Source organism: Homo sapiens, chromosome 20 (genome assembly GCF_000001405.40).
Source record: "Homo sapiens chromosome 20, GRCh38.p14 Primary Assembly".
In the NCBI taxonomy this organism is placed as follows: Eukaryota; Metazoa; Chordata; class Mammalia; order Primates; family Hominidae; genus Homo; species Homo sapiens.
In genome coordinates, this window is record NC_000020.11 from 10,291,707 (window position 1) to 10,311,591 (window position 19,885).

Genomic DNA, 19,885 nt, shown 5'->3' on the forward strand with positions numbered 1-19,885 from the left:
GTATGCCCTTAGGCTGGAAATGTACTTATCAGTTGTATTCTAGGCATGCCTTTATTCCAGGAGGCACAGGCATGCATGCATGAAAATACAGATGAAAAGAGGAATGGAAATGTAATTAGGTTTTGTAATTAGCCAGCGAAGACATCCATTGCTGCCTTCCTTTAATGGTCTTTTAAAGCTGTTTTAAAAATCCTTTCATTGAACTTGTAGTTATCTCAATTTGGTGATACAATTCAAAAAAATTAATCAAGTTGGTGTATGTAACCTTGGCAACCTAGAAGTATGATTCATTTTTATGACTATTGATCTATGTACTTAGATACACTAAGGTCAGCTATGCTGGCAGCAGTGACACCATATTGTCCTATGTTCCAATTCATAATCCTACTTCCAAAGAGACATTCATTCTCCCTGCTCTCTGCCTGGGCTTGGAGCATGACCCCCATTATAGACTTGGAAATCAGGGGGCAGAGAAGTGAAATGCCTTCCAAAACATTCATAGCAATTAAGTCATAGGATGATAGAGGAATTGCAATGTTCCAGGACTTACAATGTTGCTGTGTGGATGTTACTCTTTTTTTAAAAAACAGCTTTTACGAATTACATATGCACAATCAAGTGCAGACCATGGCTACCTCTGGCTAGACTGCCACTGCTAGGGGAAGAAAAGACATCCATACCCATTGCTTATGATTGCTGCTGCTGCTGTTGTCTCCAAAGAAGAAAATGGATTCTATTTTCTACCCTTATCTGGTTGAGGATGCTTAAAAACCAAAAGATGGAGATATTTTAAAGTTGAAGCAGATCCTTTCCTTAGTAGCGTTAAACTGGAATGCCTAAAACATAAACTAACACCCTGTTTTTTTTTCTCCTGGATTTCACTGGTGCCTGAGTAAGCGAATATGCTGTGCTGTTTTCCTGGACACTCAGAATCAAACAGGCCTTCCACCCCATCCCATCATGTTGAATTACAAAGTATTTTGAGCATCGTTTGGTTTGTTTCTTTCCACCCATACCTGTGTAGGGCAGCGGTAGCAGTCTTCAACAATGCATCCTCTTGGACAATGCATTGTAATATCTCTCTTTCAAATTCTGTTTCACATAGTCATTTCTCATGTTCTGTTGGAGACCCCCAAAAAATTCATTCCACACTGTCATCCCTTTGTCCTAACCAGAACAACTCGATCGTGTCGAAGAAGGCATGAACCATATCAACCAAGACATGAAGGAGGCTGAGAAAAATTTAAAAGATTTAGGGAAATGCTGTGGCCTTTTCATATGTCCTTGTAACAAGTAGGTACTGGGTACCAGCTCTAATCTGTGGCGTCCAGTTTTCTTTCTTTTTTTTTTTTTCTTTTTTAATGTCAAAGTGAATGTCTGAAGTTTTGTCTTTTTTTCTTTGTCCTTTTCCATCTGCTTCATTCTGTGGGGATAAAATACTTGTGTTTAATCAGAACAACTGGAACGCATTGAGGAAGGGATGGACCAAATCAATAAGGACATGAAAGAAGCAGAAAAGAATTTGACGGACCTAGGAAAATTCTGCGGGCTTTGTGTGTGTCCCTGTAACAAGTAGGTGCTGCCTGCCTGCCTGAAGCTTTGATTTCCCAAGGCCCATCTCCAAGCCTTGACAAGCTCATTCCTGCCAAGCTCATAGGCAGGATGAGCATGTGGCATGCAGAACAGATCAATACCGTCTCCAATGCATTCATCTCATAGCATAGATGATATTAGCAGGAGTTACTGTTGATGCATTAAAAATCAGGCATACTACAGTGAAAGCTTCACTGTCAGCAACTTTTATTGATGAACGTTTCAACATTTTCCAGAAAGTGTACCTTGAGACAGAGGCTAGCCTCAAGAAAGAGGCACCCAGGGAACTTCCTTTTCCCCAACCCCAAGAGTCAAAATTACAGATTTAGAAAAGGCTGCGGGTAAGTTTGGAAGATGAGAAACACATATGCGAAGGTTTGATTTTTTCCAAAATAAAAGAGACAGGTAATTTGGCCCAGGGAAGGATTCTATAAATTAGAGAATATGACAGAGATTCTCCCTTTCTACTGCCCACCAGTTGCCAAATTTTGTCAATAGATGCTGCCACTGCACCCAACACAGAGGCAATGAGCTCTTCAGCAAGAAGTGCTCAAGCCTTACTCAAATTGGACCCATCCCTCCCAAATTTTTCTCCTTGGAAGATCTACCCGTACACTGGCTGAAATGTTGAAATGTGTAGATTTTGCATGCACAACATCACAAAACATTCAACTGTTCTCAAGGTTCTGCAACGCTTTTTTGGAATGTAGCAGAAATGTGACATGTGGTTATAAAGGTTTGCAATGGAAGGAACCTAAAACTGAGGGTTCTGGAAGATTGTCTCATTTGACTAGTGGTGGAAAAAGAAATGCATGAGTGGATTGCCCAACATGCATTTGGAAAATTAAACTCCTTATCCAATCTCCCTCACCCCTCCCACTTCCCCCTTCTAAAAGAAGACTTTTTCCTAAAAGCTCTCCTGATCCTAGCTTTTAGAATAGAAATTGACGTCATTTTTAGCAGATTATATGACCATTCACATCCTTTAAACTTTGAGGCTGATTTAAAATATCCCACTTCCTGTTTAGGAGGGGGAGGGGCTCATATTGCAAAAAAATTAAAAAATTCTGCTTTTTAAAGAGTGATCTACAGTAAAGCCTGATTAACTGGAATCTAGCTAACTGGAAACCTCAGCTGCATGCTCTTGCTCCCTTCCATTTTTAGCAAAAAAGAAACAAAGAAAAAAAATCACATCAGAAATGTAAAATGGTTTTTCTTCCAGGGTAGTTTGCATTGTCTCACTTAGTCTCCATCCTCCTGCAACTTCCACATCTATGAGGACCAAACAATAAGAGTTGATCTTCACAGAAAAGGCCATCAAGCAATCAGTATAAATGATAACCAAGGAAAGATTCAATCAGGTCTTCTACCTTAAGACTTTCAGGCAGGAAAGTGGCTCAGGAGTCTAGCAAAGATATTCACTCATCATCCATGAAACAAAACTTTCCTCCATGGCCCCACTGTTCATTAAGAAAGTCATATAATTCATCAGAAAAAAAAAAAAAAAGCCTCATTACCAAGCATTCCAGTTAGTCAAGATTTGACTGTATATTCCTTTCAGTGGCAACTTGCCCCCAGGTGAGATTTCCATCCATTTCATGATAAATTCCAACAGATACATTTTCCCCCCTTCATCAACTGTGTGTGAAGAAAGGGTGAAGGCAGGGTCCCCTGGGATGGATTCTGATGTTCTAATGAAATGATGGCTCCTACGAATTCCACTTTTGAGTGGTCACTAATTTCCTTAATGCACAAGAGACCCTAAACTAAGCTTCAAAGCTTGACTGAGGTGTTCCCTATTGTGTGTAAATAATGCTTTAAAAACCATGTGTCACAACGCAGTGGCTGGTGGTGCCCTGGACTCTCTGAGGGCTTCGCCCTGTCTCGGCATGTTTCAAGGGACGATGGTAGATGTACGGCAGTGATGTGAGTCTATGTGCAGCATTGTGGGTGCAGTGGTTTGCCTTCTTTCAGAAACGCATACTTCCCACTCCTTTGACTTTGCCAAAGATGGTATAGCAGACATTTGACATAGCAGAAAACATCACAAAGTCCATATAACTTCTTTTAATCTGAGGAGGGAGGAGATGGGGAGTTGGAAAAATAAAAATTAAAAAAGCCAGACTCTAAGCCCTATTAAATTTAGTTTGGGGATCTCGTTTCATTGAATGGGTCCATGGCCCTTTGGTGCAATTAATTTTGACTGCACTAAGGCCTGCGGCATTATAGACTTGATTGTGGGAGTTGCTGAAATTCCATTGGTACAATTTTCCAGTTTGTCTCTAGGGTTGCTTGGCCCCCAGTCTGCAAGTATTAGAGCCAGTTTTAATAGATGGCTGTGGTCCTCTGGCGAAAGAAGAAGATAAAATGTTAAATTCTGGTGTCTTACAAAAAAAAATGTGAAAATGGGACCAAAGAATGTCTCTTGTTTTTGGACTAAAAAGCATATGGTTTCTACTATGTAAAGAACCTAAAAACATCTTTGATTGCCTTTAATTACAACACTCACCAAAATATGCTGCACATGTTTCTATTGGGCACAATAGGTATGCCTGGATTTTAAGTCTTTTCTCCAAGGCAGCTCAGTGAAATACAGCCCATGGAGACCATACCAGCATTAAACCACTCTCCTCCATTACAACCCCAGGATAGTTTAAACTAGGAGTTTGTAAGCACTCTCTGCCCTGCCCCTCAGCCCAACAAAGAAGCTACTGAACCTGCGTTTCAAATCCTCATGAAGGCTATTACTGTCCTGCTAGTGCCTTTTTCGAGAATGGTCAACTTCTGGAGTAGTTTGGCTTAAATGAGAATGCTTCACTTTCTACTCATGCCTGTAGCTGGTGCATGAAGAAGACGTAGAGGGGTTTCCCTTTTTGGTGCTAGATGGCTTGTTCTCTCTTCTCTTTTCCTGCATTCATTTCACTATGCTTCTTTTACTTTTTGTCTCTGTGGACAAAGGTTTGTACATCAACTCTGGATGTATGGTGACTGTTTGGAAGTACCGATATATTATCTAATTCAAATCACTCTAGAGGCAATGCAAAGACCATCACTCTTGGCCAACCACCAATCCTTTATGTCCTTCATGGAGCTTTGGAAATGTTAGTTCCACACGTGTTGGGAAAAAAAAATATTCCACAGGGATCTTTGCATGATGGTGTGTAAAAACTTGGTTGAGGATGTTTTCTTGATGACAGTGTGTTGCTGTGGTGTGATGTGCACACTCTACTTGGCAGTCTTGTTTTGTGTCTGTCTGCCAGTATGTTTTTCTCTGTTTTATGTCTCCAAATATAATCACATCACTAAAATAGAATTAAATGTCCTCCAGCTACCTTAATCCTTGTCCAAAATCCAAACTAAACCACAAAACAAACCAAAACAAGAACAACCTTGTGGGCAAAGATTGCAGTCCATTGCAATGGATTCGATTGGAAGTGAAATGTTGAGTAGCTGAGGCATGGTGGTGGCCAACTGTTTGGGTCTGGATTATGATATATCGGTATTATCTAATGCCTCGACTTAAAACTCATTCGCTTGGTTCGATTCTTCGCTTGAAGAAGTGACAATTGTTGAGAGCTTGCTCCTCCACCCCTGTGCCTTGTCACTCACCCTCTCTTTTGCATAGGCTTAAATCAAGTGATGCTTACAAAAAAGCCTGGGGCAATAATCAGGACGGAGTGGTGGCCAGCCAGCCTGCTCGTGTAGTGGACGAACGGGAGCAGATGGCCATCAGTGGCGGCTTCATCCGCAGGTGAGCCTCATGCAGCATACACTGTAGCAGTTCTCTATTGTCAAGTACAAACAACTCCAAAACTGAGTGGTTTTCTAAAAAACAACCATTTTATTGCTCATTAATCTACATACCTGCTAAGTGTTCTTTTCTAAGCCTTTCCTGGACCTTGCCTGGGTGGGGTGATCCAAGATGGCCCCATTCACTTGTCTGGTGGTTGGCTGGGGCTGTTGGTGGGGCATGTCTGTTCTTCTCCATGTGGCCTCTTCAGCAAGAGAGCCCAGGTTCCTTACATGGTGGTAGCAGTATTCCAAGGGGGCAAGCCTCAGTGCACTTACCAAACCTTTGCTTGCTTACCTTGTATTTGCCGGTTTCATTAGACAAAGCAAGTCACATGACCACATCCAGACTCAATGTGGCAGTAGACAGGCATCACATTCCATGAGTTTAATTGAATAGAGCTTATAAAAGAGACTACTTACAGAGGGGTGGGCAGGACTAATAACAAGGAATGGTGAAGCACTTCTGAGCTAGCAATAGCAGGAAGTTGTTACCACCATAGTCCTGGGGGACAGGAGAAGGAATGATTATCAGAACCCAGCAATAGTTACGACTGTGGGCAAGGAACTATCAGTAGAGAAATACAGCCACTACCAAAGCTAACAGGGAGTGAAAGAGGGAAATAAATGCTGTAGCCCCTCACTCCTCTTGCCCTGCAGTTTCATTGGCCATTAGCCAAAGCCTACTGAAAGCCAGAGGGTAAGAGGAGCTGGGTGATATAGTCATGAGGTCAGCTCCTGAGAGCACAGAGCAAAGAAGGTCCAAGAACGGATTTGGAGTGAAAATAGAGAATAATGAGCTTCTTATTAATGATTTATTTTGAAACCTAGAATCAAAAGCCAATTTAAATATCTATTTTTAAAAGTTCAAATTATGACTCAGGGGCATTTCCTTTAAAAAAAAAAAAAACTCAAGTTACACACATCAGCCAATTCAGAACTCAGCTCTCCCTTTGCTCCCAGGGAAAGTAGCCCAAGGGTTCTCAAGCCTGGCTGTACATTAGAATCACCAGGGGAGACTTTTTTTTCTTTTACTACCAGTGTTTGGGCCCAATCCACACCAATTGAACCAGAATCTCTTGAAGTGAGACACAAGCACCTGTGGCCCATTAAAGCTCCTCAGGTGATTCTGATATGCACTCAGGGCCAAGCACCATTGAACTAGAAGTATCTCTTAGCTATTGATGATCATTTAAATAAACTTCTTCCCTACAGGAAAAAGCCAGAAAGTTCTCCTTTAGTTTTTTAATTTTCTCTGCCCTGGGCTGCTTTTGAAACCATAATGAGCCAGTCTGCATTGGGAGTTACCATGGGGGAAGGATTTTAACCCTTCTGAATATTTTTTAGCTCAATACCATATATACTAGGGAAATTCTGAAATAAGTACCTCCTTAACTTTCAAGTTGGACTGTGAAAAAATGTAATGTGTTTTGTGAGCCAGCTCCTTCCTCCCATTCCCATTCCACTCAACCTGAAACAATACTCTTTTGTCACAGTTTCACAGTTTTTGACTCTGAAATCACCTATGCACCATGCCACTAAAAAACCCATGTTATTAACATATGAGTAAATAAAAATCATCTTGAACAAGTAGCTCTCCTTGGAGTTCCTGGGAGCAAGCAGGGTTAAGGGGCAAACTGTAATTATCATTACTCTTCCCATTGGTGTCAATCCCAAGTGTGAAAAGAGATGAGCACAGAGACTCTGACTTAGCACAATAAGCTTTTTATTGTATTCTTAATTTGAGTCTTAGAAATTTTGAGACTTAATTTGAGTCTTAGAAATATTAAGAATATTCTTAGAAAGAAGAATATCGTTTCTAATTCCATCTTCGTGCTCTGACCTAAAGTCCTTTCAAAGAAAATGTTTTCATCCTTAAACAATAAAAATTGAAATAAACATATGAAGGGGAAACAACATAATGGAAGGAGTGAGAAAGTAGATAAATTAATCTATTTAATATACCTTCTTTAAGAATAGAAATTCAAGGGTTCAAAAAGCAATTTTAAACATTTTTTTTAAATGTATGAAAGCTAAAATGTGTTTTTGTACTGGATGGAGATTAAAGATAGATAAAGTTGATGCCCAGAGGACGACAGATTTCCACTATGCTTTGGGTCCTTGGTATTCAATATGTTTTCCACCCTCTGTCTTCTAAAACTTGCTCTTTGGATCCCAGGGTAACAAATGATGCCCGAGAAAATGAAATGGATGAAAACCTAGAGCAGGTGAGCGGCATCATCGGGAACCTCCGTCACATGGCCCTGGATATGGGCAATGAGATCGATACACAGAATCGCCAGATCGACAGGATCATGGAGAAGGTGAGCACGTGGCAGTCAGCAAGTCCCTACTGCGAGTCACTTCTGAAATGACCAACAGGAAGTGTGAAGGGCATAACAAGATCCTCAAAACACGACCTTGGATTCAGGCGCACTGATAGCTGGAAATGTTCTTCATTTTCCAAGAGAAAAATATAGGACTCAGCAACAGAATTGGAGTGAAAATAAGAGGGTCAAATTTAATCCAGCAAATATTCTCAAAGGCTCCTGTCAGCCAGGCATTGTGCTAGGCACTGTGGGCCATGTACACATGAGAAAGACACCACCCCTACTGCCAAGAAATTCACGGCCTATGGGAGGCTACGAGCCTCCAGATGAATTTTCTATCACTCAAAATATAATTCACTAAGAGATCCACAGATAAAATGCTAAACAAGGTTAGATAAGGAAAGATCTCAAGAGGCAAAGTTCGGGAAAATCTCAGAATAAGTTGACTTTGAATTGAATCTTGAAGGATGGTTAGTATTAATAGTTTGTCAAGTGGAGGTGGTGAAGGGATAGAATCAGAAAATGGGAGAAAGAATAGTCAGTATAGCCAGGACATGATTATGAGCTTTGCTTTTATAAATGCCAAAGCTTTAATGAGAATTCAAAAATATCCAGGTTCCATTTCCAGTTTAACAGTTCACATCCCCAGTTCTAAAAACAGGGAATTTTATATGATGAAATTGAGTTTACACAAGGACACCAGACTTGGCTCTAAGATCCACCATGTCAACGTGGGCCATAAGAAAGACTGGAGGGAGTAGACTGGGAAGGGGTGGGTTTGGGGGCTTAAAATTAGAAGAGATTGGAAAGAAACACTGGAACGTTCCTATAAAGAGACCTAGGGCACCAAAACCTGATATTCTACAACACAGAACTCCGACATAATTTATATTTCCATGTTTCATGCCCTTTCCTCAATCAGTAGGGTCTTGAATATTGATTACAAACTCTTATGTCCAAATGCTAAAAAGGAGAAAAAGAGACATTATAGATTTAACGATAATTGTACATCTATAATCTACTCAATGTGGGTAACTTATGTTGTGTGTTTATTCCCTGGGAGACGTTGAAGTTCTTTGTCTGATATCCTAAATTTTCTTATAATAATTCATTCCATTTTGGTGAGCAGAGAAGGATACTTTTAAGATTTTTAGAATCATAAATCTAAATAGTAGTTTCTTGGTATGCAAGCAACCTCCAATGACTTGAAAAAGGAGTAAGTAGGCATAAAGGGAACACTTTGTCCTGTTGTGTTGTACATACTCCATGTTAAAAATATCTGATTGCATATTTTGCCTGATCAGTATGAAAACTACGCAAACTTTAGTGTTGGTTGGCAAAATACTTGTGCTTTGCTTACTTTTGCAAGTAATGGCATGCTTATCGTTGTTAAGAAGGCTTTCATATGATAAAGCTTTTAAAGCTGTGTAAATCAATAGATATTAGAATAATAATGAGAGTTTCAAAACTCACTAGAGCCAACACAAGCTGACCTAACCCATTACGGCCCAGAATAATGAACTAAAAAATCATTGCTGAGCTGCCCTCCAACAGAAAAAACAATTTGAAAAAAACAGGAAGTATTCATTTTCTATTAATGGACCCACTTTACTTGCAGATGCAGCTAGATAATGCATCAAAGCCAATTAGGGTTCCAGAAGGAGCGTCTTTACTAATAGAAGGGTCAAACTCTTATTGACAGAGTTGAACTTTAAGCAAGAAAATGTGTTCCTGGAAAGGCAAGTGGCATCTTGATTCTGCCACTTTGAATTTCTAGTTCTCATCTTTAGGGAGAAGGTTTTTCTTCTACGCCCAGTGTACTATAAAGACAGAGACATATGCAGCTACAAGGTTTAATCAGAAGCCAGGCAGGTGGATGGATAATGACTATTTCAATTTGTATCATTCCTTGAGTGCAGAATCATTTAAGTGGGAGAAGGGTCTAATTGCCTTTGAATAACTAGTTTCCAGTCAGCACTTTAAATAGCCCCTTTTTTTTCCAGAATCAAAATCCACACATGATTTAAATAGAGCCCACTTCAACCCAGCATTGCCCCAAATGATCATGTCGCATGAACTGCACAATTATTAATAGATTTCCACCTTCTCATTGAAGTTCTCATTTCTGATAACGGGACAGTATGTGGAAGTTTCCTGCATATCTAAGATGTAATTGCAATCACACTGTAGGGGTAAGGAGAGTCTTATGATGTTTCTCTCATAATCTCTCATGACCCCAACAGCAACCTTTACCCAGCTCTATCAATCATGATCTTTTCTCATCACTTGGATCAATAGTGAAGTTTTGGGAGTCCTTAACAATGAGATTTTCAATACATCCTCATGGATTGTCAAGAAATTACTTTATTTAAAAATCTCGTTTTCTGCTTAAGGGTATTTATGTATATAAATAATAACCTTATATATATAAATAAATAACTATATATATTATATAATATATAATATATATATTATATGTATATGGTTATTATATATATATAAAAACCATATATAAAAATAACCATATATAGATATACCTTCTAAGGTTAAAAACATAATTTTTTCAGAAAACTTACTGAATTGGAAGCAAGCCTATATCAGAGGGTTTATGGGAACTGTTGCTAAGGAAATACCTTAGCAATGTTCAAACTTTGATTTAAAGTTATCAGTGGTAAGTTAGGCATGCAGTCCCAGCTACTCCAGAGGCTGAGGCAGGAGAATTCCTTGAGCCCAGGAGTTCCAGGCTGCAGTGAGCTATGATCGTGCCACTGCACTCGCACTCCAGCCTGGGCAACAGAGCAAGATCCCATCTCTAATAAGTAAATATATAAATAAAAATAAAGTTGTCAGTGGTAGATGACAGGCACACGTTGGAATACAGTGAGGCTGATTCTTTAGCAGTCCTCACATTCTTCTATCAGTGAGAAAACACAGCATTTGAGAGCTAAGACTTTGAGTTCTAACAGGGTTTTGCCATTCACCAGCTCTGTGACCTGATTGCCTCACCTGAAGGATAGTAAGAGAACTGTTCAAACCTAGGATCAGAACAGGCTGGAAGTATGAACTGGGTTCTAAAAGTCACCTGGCATGGTCTGAAGTTGAAGAGATTCCCGGAGCGTTCAGAAGATGGGCTGAACAGCTCCTTCTAAACTTTTACTGGCTCTTTGGTGGTCATCCTGGCCTTCTCACAAGGACAAACATGTAACATATGTTGGGCACTCCAGCAAATTTAGAATTTTCTAAATAGAAATATAAAAATTGGAATGGGACAGCCATCATAAATAAAGTCCTACAGCATATAAGTAGGGTGATCATAGGGGCATTCTCCAAATACCAGGAAGACATCTACAAGGAGATTCCAGACTTTTTTTTTTTTTTAAAAGAAGCTAATTCTTTTATATAATAAAGGGGCAGTACTTTCTGTGTCAAATATTGCATGGGGTGGAATTTTCATATGCTTCAGAAGTAAGTTAGGTGGAAATCACAGATGCTCATTGAACATAAGTCTGTTTCAGCTCCTCCCAGATCCTTTAAGGATATACAGAGTAACCTCATGCTCTACTTCAAATATCCCCAGGTGAAGGCCCCTCAGTGCATTCTTGTACAGGAGATCCTAGAATGTTTGCGCTCAGGAATGCCATCATTTTAAAATGAATTATTTTTCTCATTTGAGCTTTTCAGAGCATTTAGTCTGGCAACATAATAATTCAATCTACAGGAACATTTCACATTGCTCTGATCCTGTAACTTTCCTTTGCACTGAAGTGTCATTATTTCTGATACCATTTGTAGCTGGAAAGGGAGGGCTTAAGAACCAAGTAAAATTGGTGAGATTATCCATTTTCCAATTGAGAAACCTGAGGTCAAAAATGTGAGTCTGTAGTTCAAAACAATCAAAATCAATGCCCTATCTTACTATGTAAATACTGATTTTAAAAGACAAGTGTCAATTATCCAAACAGATGACAGAGAACCATTGCCAGGTATTCAAAGTTATGATTAATCTGGAAATATGTTTGTTTTAACTTTGCAAATTTCTATTTGAACATGGATAATTCTAATGTCCTGAGAATTCACGATATGAACTGAATACAGAAGACTCAGCTCAATAAAAATTGGGAAGTACAGCACCACAATAGGTACAAAGCTGGTAATCATTGAGTGATACTGGTTGAGAGAAAAACAGTTTGGTTTCCCCACACTGCCTGGCAGCCTCCTCCTCTTCTTCCCAGGCTGTAGAAGGATAGACAGCATTACCAGTCAGGGAAGGACAAAAGAAAAGCCTCCATAGAATCGTTGTCTTCACCTCTGGTTGCTGATGCATTTTTCTCAGTGGTGATGGGAATCATTCATTTTCTGGAATTTAAAGATTTATGCTGGTAGCAGCCCTAGGTTTCATGCTGCATATACAGCAAACATAACCCAAGCAGTAAAGAGATCAACCAAGAGATTAAAGCCAGCCAGTTACAAAATCATAGTAAATGTGCATCTGTTAAAGAAAAGACAGTTATTAAACTCATAGAAATGAATCTTCAGAAATGCAACTTAAAAACTATTAAGCATCCCAGAAGCAAGCCAAGTTCTCATACGGTAACAATAATTGCAAGATAAACTAATGAGCCCTTCGTTTTGCAAAACATTATTCCAAGCACATTATGTGTATAAACTCATTTGATCTCAGCAAATTGAATAGTAAGTGATGAATAGTGTGGACTCTGACTCCAGGTTGCTAGCATTCAGACTCTGGTTTCTCCATTTATTAGTACTAAGACTTCAGACAAATTCCCCAGATCGTTTCTGACTGCTTTTCTCATTTGGAAAAGTGAGCTAATAATAGTACACACTTTATAGTTGATATTGTTAATCTTGATGTTGTCAAAGTTTAATGAGTGGAACAAAGTACAGTTGACCCTTGAACAACATGGAGATTTAGGGTGTCAACCCCCATGCAGCTGAAAATTTTTTGACTCCCCCAAAATTTAACTACTAGTAGCCTACTGTTGACTGGAAGCCTTAATGACATAAAAAGTCCATTAACATCTATGTTTTATGTATTATTTACTGTATTCGTATGATAAAGTAAGCTGGAGAAAAGAAAATGTTATTAAGAAAATCATAAGGAAGATAAAATACATTTATAATACTATGCTGTATTTATTGATACCATCAGTTTATATCATTTGTTTACAAGATGAATCATCAGTCTGAAATCTTCAGTACACATTAAGCAATTCAACTTTTTCTTGAAATGTCGTGACTTTTTTTTGCTTTTTGGGAGCACTGCTAGCATCACTGGTGGCACTTTGTATGGGTGCATGATGTTATTCAAGGTTTACAGTATTGCACTAAACATGATTTTTTTTAAATGTGAAACTGCAAGAGATCACTTTTTACTGCACTATGCAATTTACTGGAGAGATGGTGAGGATGATTAGTATCACAGAGCATTTTAAACGGATGCTCACAACACTTGAGTTCACCACAATAATAGGAGGTGGCTATGAAATTATTAGAGTAGTACAGTATGGACTACAGTTAATTTTATACAATTATGATTTAATACTTCACCTTTACATTTCTCTCAACTGCAAATAGGCCCATGTATGGTCTATATTTGTTTAAGTCTCATCAATTTTAACTTTTCATAGTAGATTTATATGTATTTTATGATAGTAAATAATAGACTAGACTAGTATCTACATATATTTTATCCATTCATGACATGCCTAATTTTTTCTAAATTTTCTCAATATTTCTAAGTAACACATTCATCTGCAAGTTTGTCTTAATTGTTGCAAATCTCCAAAGCATTTTCCAGTGTATTTATTGAAAAAAAATCCTGGCCAGGTACAATGGCACATGCCTGTAATCTCAGCATTTTGGGAGGCTGAGGAGGGAGGACTGCTTGAGCCCAGGAGTTTGAGACCAGCCTGGGCAACATAGTGAGATCTCATCTATACAAAAAATAGAAAAATTAGCCAGGCATGGTGGCATGCACCTGTGGTCTTAGCTATTTAGGAGGCTGAGATGGGAGGCTCAGTTGAGCCCAGGCAGTCAAGGGTGCAATGAGCTATGATCACACCGCTGTTCCCCAGCCTGGGCATCAGAGCAAGACCCTGTCTCAAAAAAAAGGAAGAAAGAAATTCACACAAAAGTGGATCCACACCATTCAAACCCATGATGTCCAAGGGTCCACTGTACATGCTCATGCTCATTAGCAATATTTTTTATCATCCAGGTTGGAGAAGAGAAAGCTGAGCCCCCAAGATGTAATTTGTTCAAAGGGACACTGCTAATAAATTAGCCATGGTTTCAATCCTACAGTATAAGAAGTGTAATTCAACTTGGTCCAACAGATGTGAATGCCTACCACAGAAGTCATTGAGTGTCTTTCTAGGATAGAAAGATAAATCATATATAAGCCTACGCTCTCTGGTAGGGAAAATTATTAAAAATGAAAATTAAAAAAGCAATGATTCTGAAAAAATATATTCGTTCATTAAAAAAAAAAAATGAAAATTAAGCTTCTACGGTCACATTCAAATAGAGCCATAGCCGTCATTCTGGGAAGACAAAAGAAAGGATGGCCCATGCTGACCAAGGAGGTTTTAAGTGGTTTCACCCAAGAGGAAGCATTGGACCCGGACCCAGAAGGGTGAATGGATTTTTAAGGGGTAACCTGAGTTCTGTTTCTTTTCCCCCTTTTCTAGGCTGATTCCAACAAAACCAGAATTGATGAGGCCAACCAACGTGCAACAAAGATGCTGGGAAGTGGTTAAGTGTGCCCACCCGTGTTCTCCTCCAAATGCTGTCGGGCAAGATAGCTCCTTCATGCTTTTCTCATGGTATTATCTAGTAGGTCTGCACACATAACACACATCAGTCCACCCCCATTGTGAATGTTGTCCTGTGTCATCTGTCAGCTTCCCAACAATACTTTGTGTCTTTTGTTCTCTCTTGGTCTCTTTCTTTCCAAAGGTTGTACATAGTGGTCATTTGGTGGCTCTAACTCCTTGAGGTCTTGAGTTTCATTTTTCATTTTCTCTCCTCGGTGGCATTTGCTGAATAACAACAATTTAGGAATGCTCAATGTGCTGTTGATTCTTTCAATCCACAGTATTGTTCTTGTAAAACTGTGACATTCCACAGAGTTACTGCCACGGTCCTTTGAGTGTCAGGCTCTGAATCTCTCAAAATGTGCCGTCTTTGGTTCCTCATGGCTGTTATCTGTCTTTATGATTTCATGATTAGACAATGTGGAATTACATAACAGGCATTGCACTAAAAGTGATGTGATTTATGCATTTATGCATGAGAACTAAATAGATTTTTAGATTCCTACTTAAACAAAAACTTTCCATGACAGTAGCATACTGATGAGACAACACACACACACACAAAACAACAGCAACAACAACAGAACAACAACAAAGCATGCTCAGTATTGAGACACTGTCAAGATTAAGTTATACCAGCAAAAGTGCAGTAGTGTCACTTTTTTCCTGTCAATATATAGAGACTTCTAAATCATAATCATCCTTTTTTAAAAAAAAGAATTTTAAAAAAGATGGATTTGACACACTCACCATTTAATCATTTCCAGCAAAATATATGTTTGGCTGAAATTATGTCAAATGGATGTAATATAGGGTTTGTTTGCTGCTTTTGATGGCTATGTTTTGGAGAGAGCAATCTTGCTGTGAAACAGTGTGGATGTAAATTTTATAAGGCTGACTCTTACTAACCACCATTTCCCCTGTGGTTTGTTATCAGTACAATTCTTTGTTGCTTAATCTAGAGCTATGCACACCAAATTGCTGAGATGTTTAGTAGCTGATAAAGAAACCTTTTAAAAAAATAATATAAATGAATGAAATATAAACTGTGAGATAAATATCATTATAGCATGTAATATTAAATTCCTCCTGTCTCCTCTGTCAGTTTGTGAAGTGATTGACATTTTGTAGCTAGTTTAAAATTATTAAAAATTATAGACTCCAGATGATCTGCTTTAATTTCTTCATGGACTCGTCTGATTTTGCACTCACACGAGAAGAGAAAGCCTGGCTACCCTATCCCAGCTACTAAAAGCCAGTTCTGTGCACCGAGGACAGTGTGGGGGAAAATAGAAGATTTAAGCATGATTCCAGTGGCAACTGACAACTTGGCTTGATTCTCATAACCTGCTCCAGAATTACTTTGTGAATTCAGTGTTGACTAAGGGAGAAAATGTAGTTATCCAGAACACATAGAAAGAAAAATTTATAGGAAAAAAATCTATGGTACCCAGGCATGGCCCTACATAGATTCAGGTATATCTGGTGTCTGTCAACTCCAATCTTCCTTCCTTTCCACAAAATCCCCACCATCTAAAATTGAGGGCTTCACTACCACACCACCACTGACTCCATGTTTTTTTAAACAGCTTTACTGACTCACTATAAAATTCATCCATTTAAATATATAATTAATTTCTTTTGTATATTCACTGAGGTAGCAATCTAATTTTAGAACATCTTTATCACTGCCGCCAAAATACCCCATACCTATTAGCAATCACTCCCATCTCACTTCTCCCAGCCCTAGGGAATTACTGGTTTACTAGTTATCTCTATAGATTTGCCTATACATTTCATATAAATGGCATCATACAATGTGTGGTCTTCGGGAACTGGCTTCTTTCACTTAATATAATGTTTTCAAGGTTCCTCCATGTTGTATCACAGATCAGTACTTCATTCTTTTTTAAGGCCAAATAATATTCTATTGTATGCATAGATACTATTTTGTTTATCCATGTATCAGGTTATGAATATTTGCATTGTTTCTGCTTTTTGACTTTTTTTTTTTTTTTTTTTTGAGACAGAATCTTGCTCTGTCGCTCAGGTTGGAGTGCAGTGGCATGATCTCGGCTCACTACAACCTCTACCTTCCGGTTCAAGTGCTTATCCTTCCTCAGCCTCCCAAGTAGCTGGGATTACAGGCGCCTGTCACCACGCCCAGCTTTTTTTTTTTTTTTTTTTTTTTTTTTTTTGTATTTTTAGTAGAGAGTAGGTTTCACCATGTTGTCCAGGCTGGTCTCAAACTCCTGACCTCAGGTGATCCACCTGCCTTGGCCTCCCAAAGTGCTAGGATTACAGGCATGAGCCACCACGCCTGGCCACTTTTTGACTATTATGAATAATGCTGCTATGAACATTGATGTAAAAGTTTTTGTGTAGACATAAGATTTTTTATTCACTTGCCCCACAGTTTTACCAACATCATTGCCTGTCCCACCACAACCACCACTAACACCTCCACCGCCATCACCTCCACCATCACTATCCCTACTCCTACTAACACCACCACTGCCTCAATTATCACCACCTTACCTTTTCCACTGGCTCTACCACCTCCACACCATCTTAACCAGCATGCCCATTACCTCCACCTTTATTACCACCACCATTATAATCACCATCATCACCTCCATCACCACCACCGCTCCCACTGCCACCATCACCACCACCACCTGACCATCCATCTCCTCTGCCAACATCATCATCATCACTTCCATCACCTCTGCCACCTCCTCCACCTCTCTCTATGTCCACATAGTAGCAATGCAGATACATTCATCCTGGTTGCCTTGGTTGGCTGTCAGATAATTTTATCCATAAAAGCATCTCTGGAGGTTTGGTGAGAGCAATTAAGGAGCAAGAACAGTGATGACAGTAAATATGAGTAGTTCTTTAACCTTTTCACAAGCCTGAGAACAGGCTCTATAAGTAGCCAGTGGCTTTTGGAAGTTATTCTAAGGCACAATAGTAACAACAAACTTATTCCTTAAAATTAAGGTAGTAGAAAGGATGCTAGAAGATGGGAAAAGTGAATAAATTTACTGCATACGTCAAAGCTGCCAAGGGGTCAAATATGGGCCACATTTGAAAATTCTGTTCCAAACTCCATCTGTTCTTAGCCAGATGAGTGAGTGTGTTTCCACATCATTTGAGTAATTAAAACCTCTCACTGGATACATTAAAAGTAAGATACAGGCATTTTGCTTTAAAGCCTGTCACATTATTTTTTCTGAAGCATATTTCTTTTGATGATTGAGGTTATCCAGCCACCACTTGTATGCAGTCATCTCCGTTAGGCTAAAGGGAGACCTATGCCTCAGGGATGAATCAGCTCTGGGTAATGCGCCAACTCAGAAAGTACATTAGAAATGAAATGATTAGGGCAATGTGGAACACTGTGAAAGCTCAATCTTCTACCTCCCTCCTACTTGGCACTGGCAGAGGACCCTTCTACAAAAGACCAGAAGGTGAAGGGTGGCCCCAGATCCCAGTAACAGAGTCCTTTTCTCTTGTCGGACTCTCATTTCTATTTCTGTTACCCTTCTTCCACATCCTCCTCCAGCCTCTGCTTTCACCAACTTTCCCCAATCTCTGTGTCACTAATTCATTAATAAACTGATGATTGCATTGAAAAAGAAAAGAAAATCCGTATTTTGTGATCATCTATCTAGTACATGCCAGGCATTGTGCTAAGTGCTTCATTTATGTTGACTCATTAAACTCTTAAAAAAAAAAAGCTTGGCAATTTGGCAAAACCAGCATTATTAGCCCCATTTTGCGGATGAAGAAATTGATAGTTTATTTGAACAAGCTCTCTCAGCTAATAAGTGATGTAGTGTGATTTAAGCCAGATGTGTGTGACTTTGAAGTTTTAGAGAGTCCTGAAATATACATTTCAGAAATGCACCTTTGTCAATTCAGCCAGCCAAGAAACTCCTGGAGACAATTGCCTCCACAAGGAGAAGCAAAGAAAGATGGACTAGATGTCATAGCAGAAGGTCCTTGTGAACATACCTTTTATTCACTCATTCATTCAATAAATATTTACTGAGCTTCCATTATATATCAAGCCCTGTTCTGAGTATTGGAAAAACAGCACTAGGAGAAACAAAAAGCAAACAGACAAAGCAGGGAAAATTCCTTGCATTAACTGAACTTACACTCAAGCTAGGGACAGAGAGATTAACAATATATAAAGGATATGGAATGGTAAATGTTGTAGAGAAATGCAACACAATGAAGGGGGTACAGAGCATAAGAGGTAGGACAGAGGGTGTATCTTAGTCCACTTGTGCTGCTATAACCAAATACCACAGACTGGGTAATTCATAAATAAAAGAAATTTATTTCTCGCAGTTCTGAAGACTGGGAAGTCCAAGATCGAGTTATCAGCAAATTTGATGTCTGGTAAGGGCTGCTCTCTGTGCTTCAAAGATGGTGCCTTATTGCTGCATCCTCTGGAGGGGAAAAACTGTGTCCTCACATGGAGGAAGGTAGAAGGACAAAAGGGACTAAGCTAGTTCTCTCCAGCCCTGTTAAAAGGCATTAATTCATTCATGAGAGTGAAGTTCTCATGACATAATCACTCCCCAAAAGCCCCTATTTCTTAATACCACCACAATGGGGTTTAAGTTTCAACACATGAATTTTGGAGGTGACACATTCAATTCATAGCCAGGTGTTACTGTAAAATAGAATGGTCAGGGAAGACCTCACCAATAAAGTGAAGTTTAGTCAGGGAATTCTTCAAGGTTTAGAGTAATTAAAATACATCCAGAGTGACCCACTGGAGAAGCAGAGGCTGAAAGTGATGAAATGAAAGTACAAATTGCCTCTATCTTATCATTTAATAATAGTGGAGTACCTCCTCTGTGAATCAGTACTCGTGTTAAGTATTTCCTACATATGCTAGAAGAAAGTTGCAAACCCTTGGCCCAGTGAGCAAGGAAGCAAGTTCAGATAATGAGACAAGTGGTATGCAAGCAATGAATGTCAAGTCAAATTTTCTTAGAAGAGTAGAAGGTGTTGACCTCATGGTCCAAGATTTAGGTCTTCATACAATCATCCACTTACTAATTTACCTTCAAACATGTTTGTTGTGTACCTACCTCAGGTTCTTTAAGTTTTGGATACTCAAGTCTGTCTCTTAGAATGTAGGGAACAAGAAAACAAAGAAAAGTGAACCATTGTCAAGGCATTTAACTGTAGTACCTGCAGCTATCTCCTGGATGAGTTGCCAACACTCTCAGTTGTCTCACTGTTCTGGAGGAGCAATCCCAGGCAGGATGCCTCCAGCTGGTATTCACCACCCACCATTACACAATCCTTGGC

At 39.2% G+C, this 19,885-nt stretch overlaps 1 protein-coding gene across 15 annotated transcripts in view, besides 1 other annotated feature; it reads left to right on the forward strand.

The window, feature by feature from the left end:
* The window catches only part of SNAP25 (synaptosome associated protein 25), an 88,589-nt gene extending 72,877 nt beyond the window's left edge, over positions 1-15,712 (forward strand). For 10 of the 15 annotated variants that reach the window (NM_001424416.1, NM_001322907.2, NM_001322910.2 and 7 more), the window contains 4 exons: positions 1,455-1,572; positions 5,219-5,344; positions 7,562-7,706; positions 14,423-15,712. In NM_001424416.1, coding sequence (NP_001411345.1) covers positions 1,455-1,572; positions 5,219-5,344; positions 7,562-7,706; positions 14,423-14,491 — 458 coding nt within the window. In that variant the 3' untranslated portion in view covers positions 14,492-15,712. Of the gene's footprint in view, positions 1-1,175; positions 1,294-1,454; positions 1,573-5,218; positions 5,349-7,561; positions 7,707-14,422 lie in introns of those variants that run through there. The other 5 variants (XM_017028022.2, NM_001424415.1, NM_003081.5 and 2 more) reach the window with 2 other exon arrangements.
* Positions 8,790-9,707: an enhancer, noted in NCBI's record as "OCT4-NANOG hESC enhancer chr20:10281144-10282061 (GRCh37/hg19 assembly coordinates)". NCBI's record gives its function as "activates a minimal SCP1, AML or CMV promoter by ChIP-STARR-seq in primed H9 embryonic stem cells {active_cell/tissue: H9 hESC(primed)}" and the evidence as "EXISTENCE:reporter gene assay evidence [ECO:0000049][PMID:30033119]".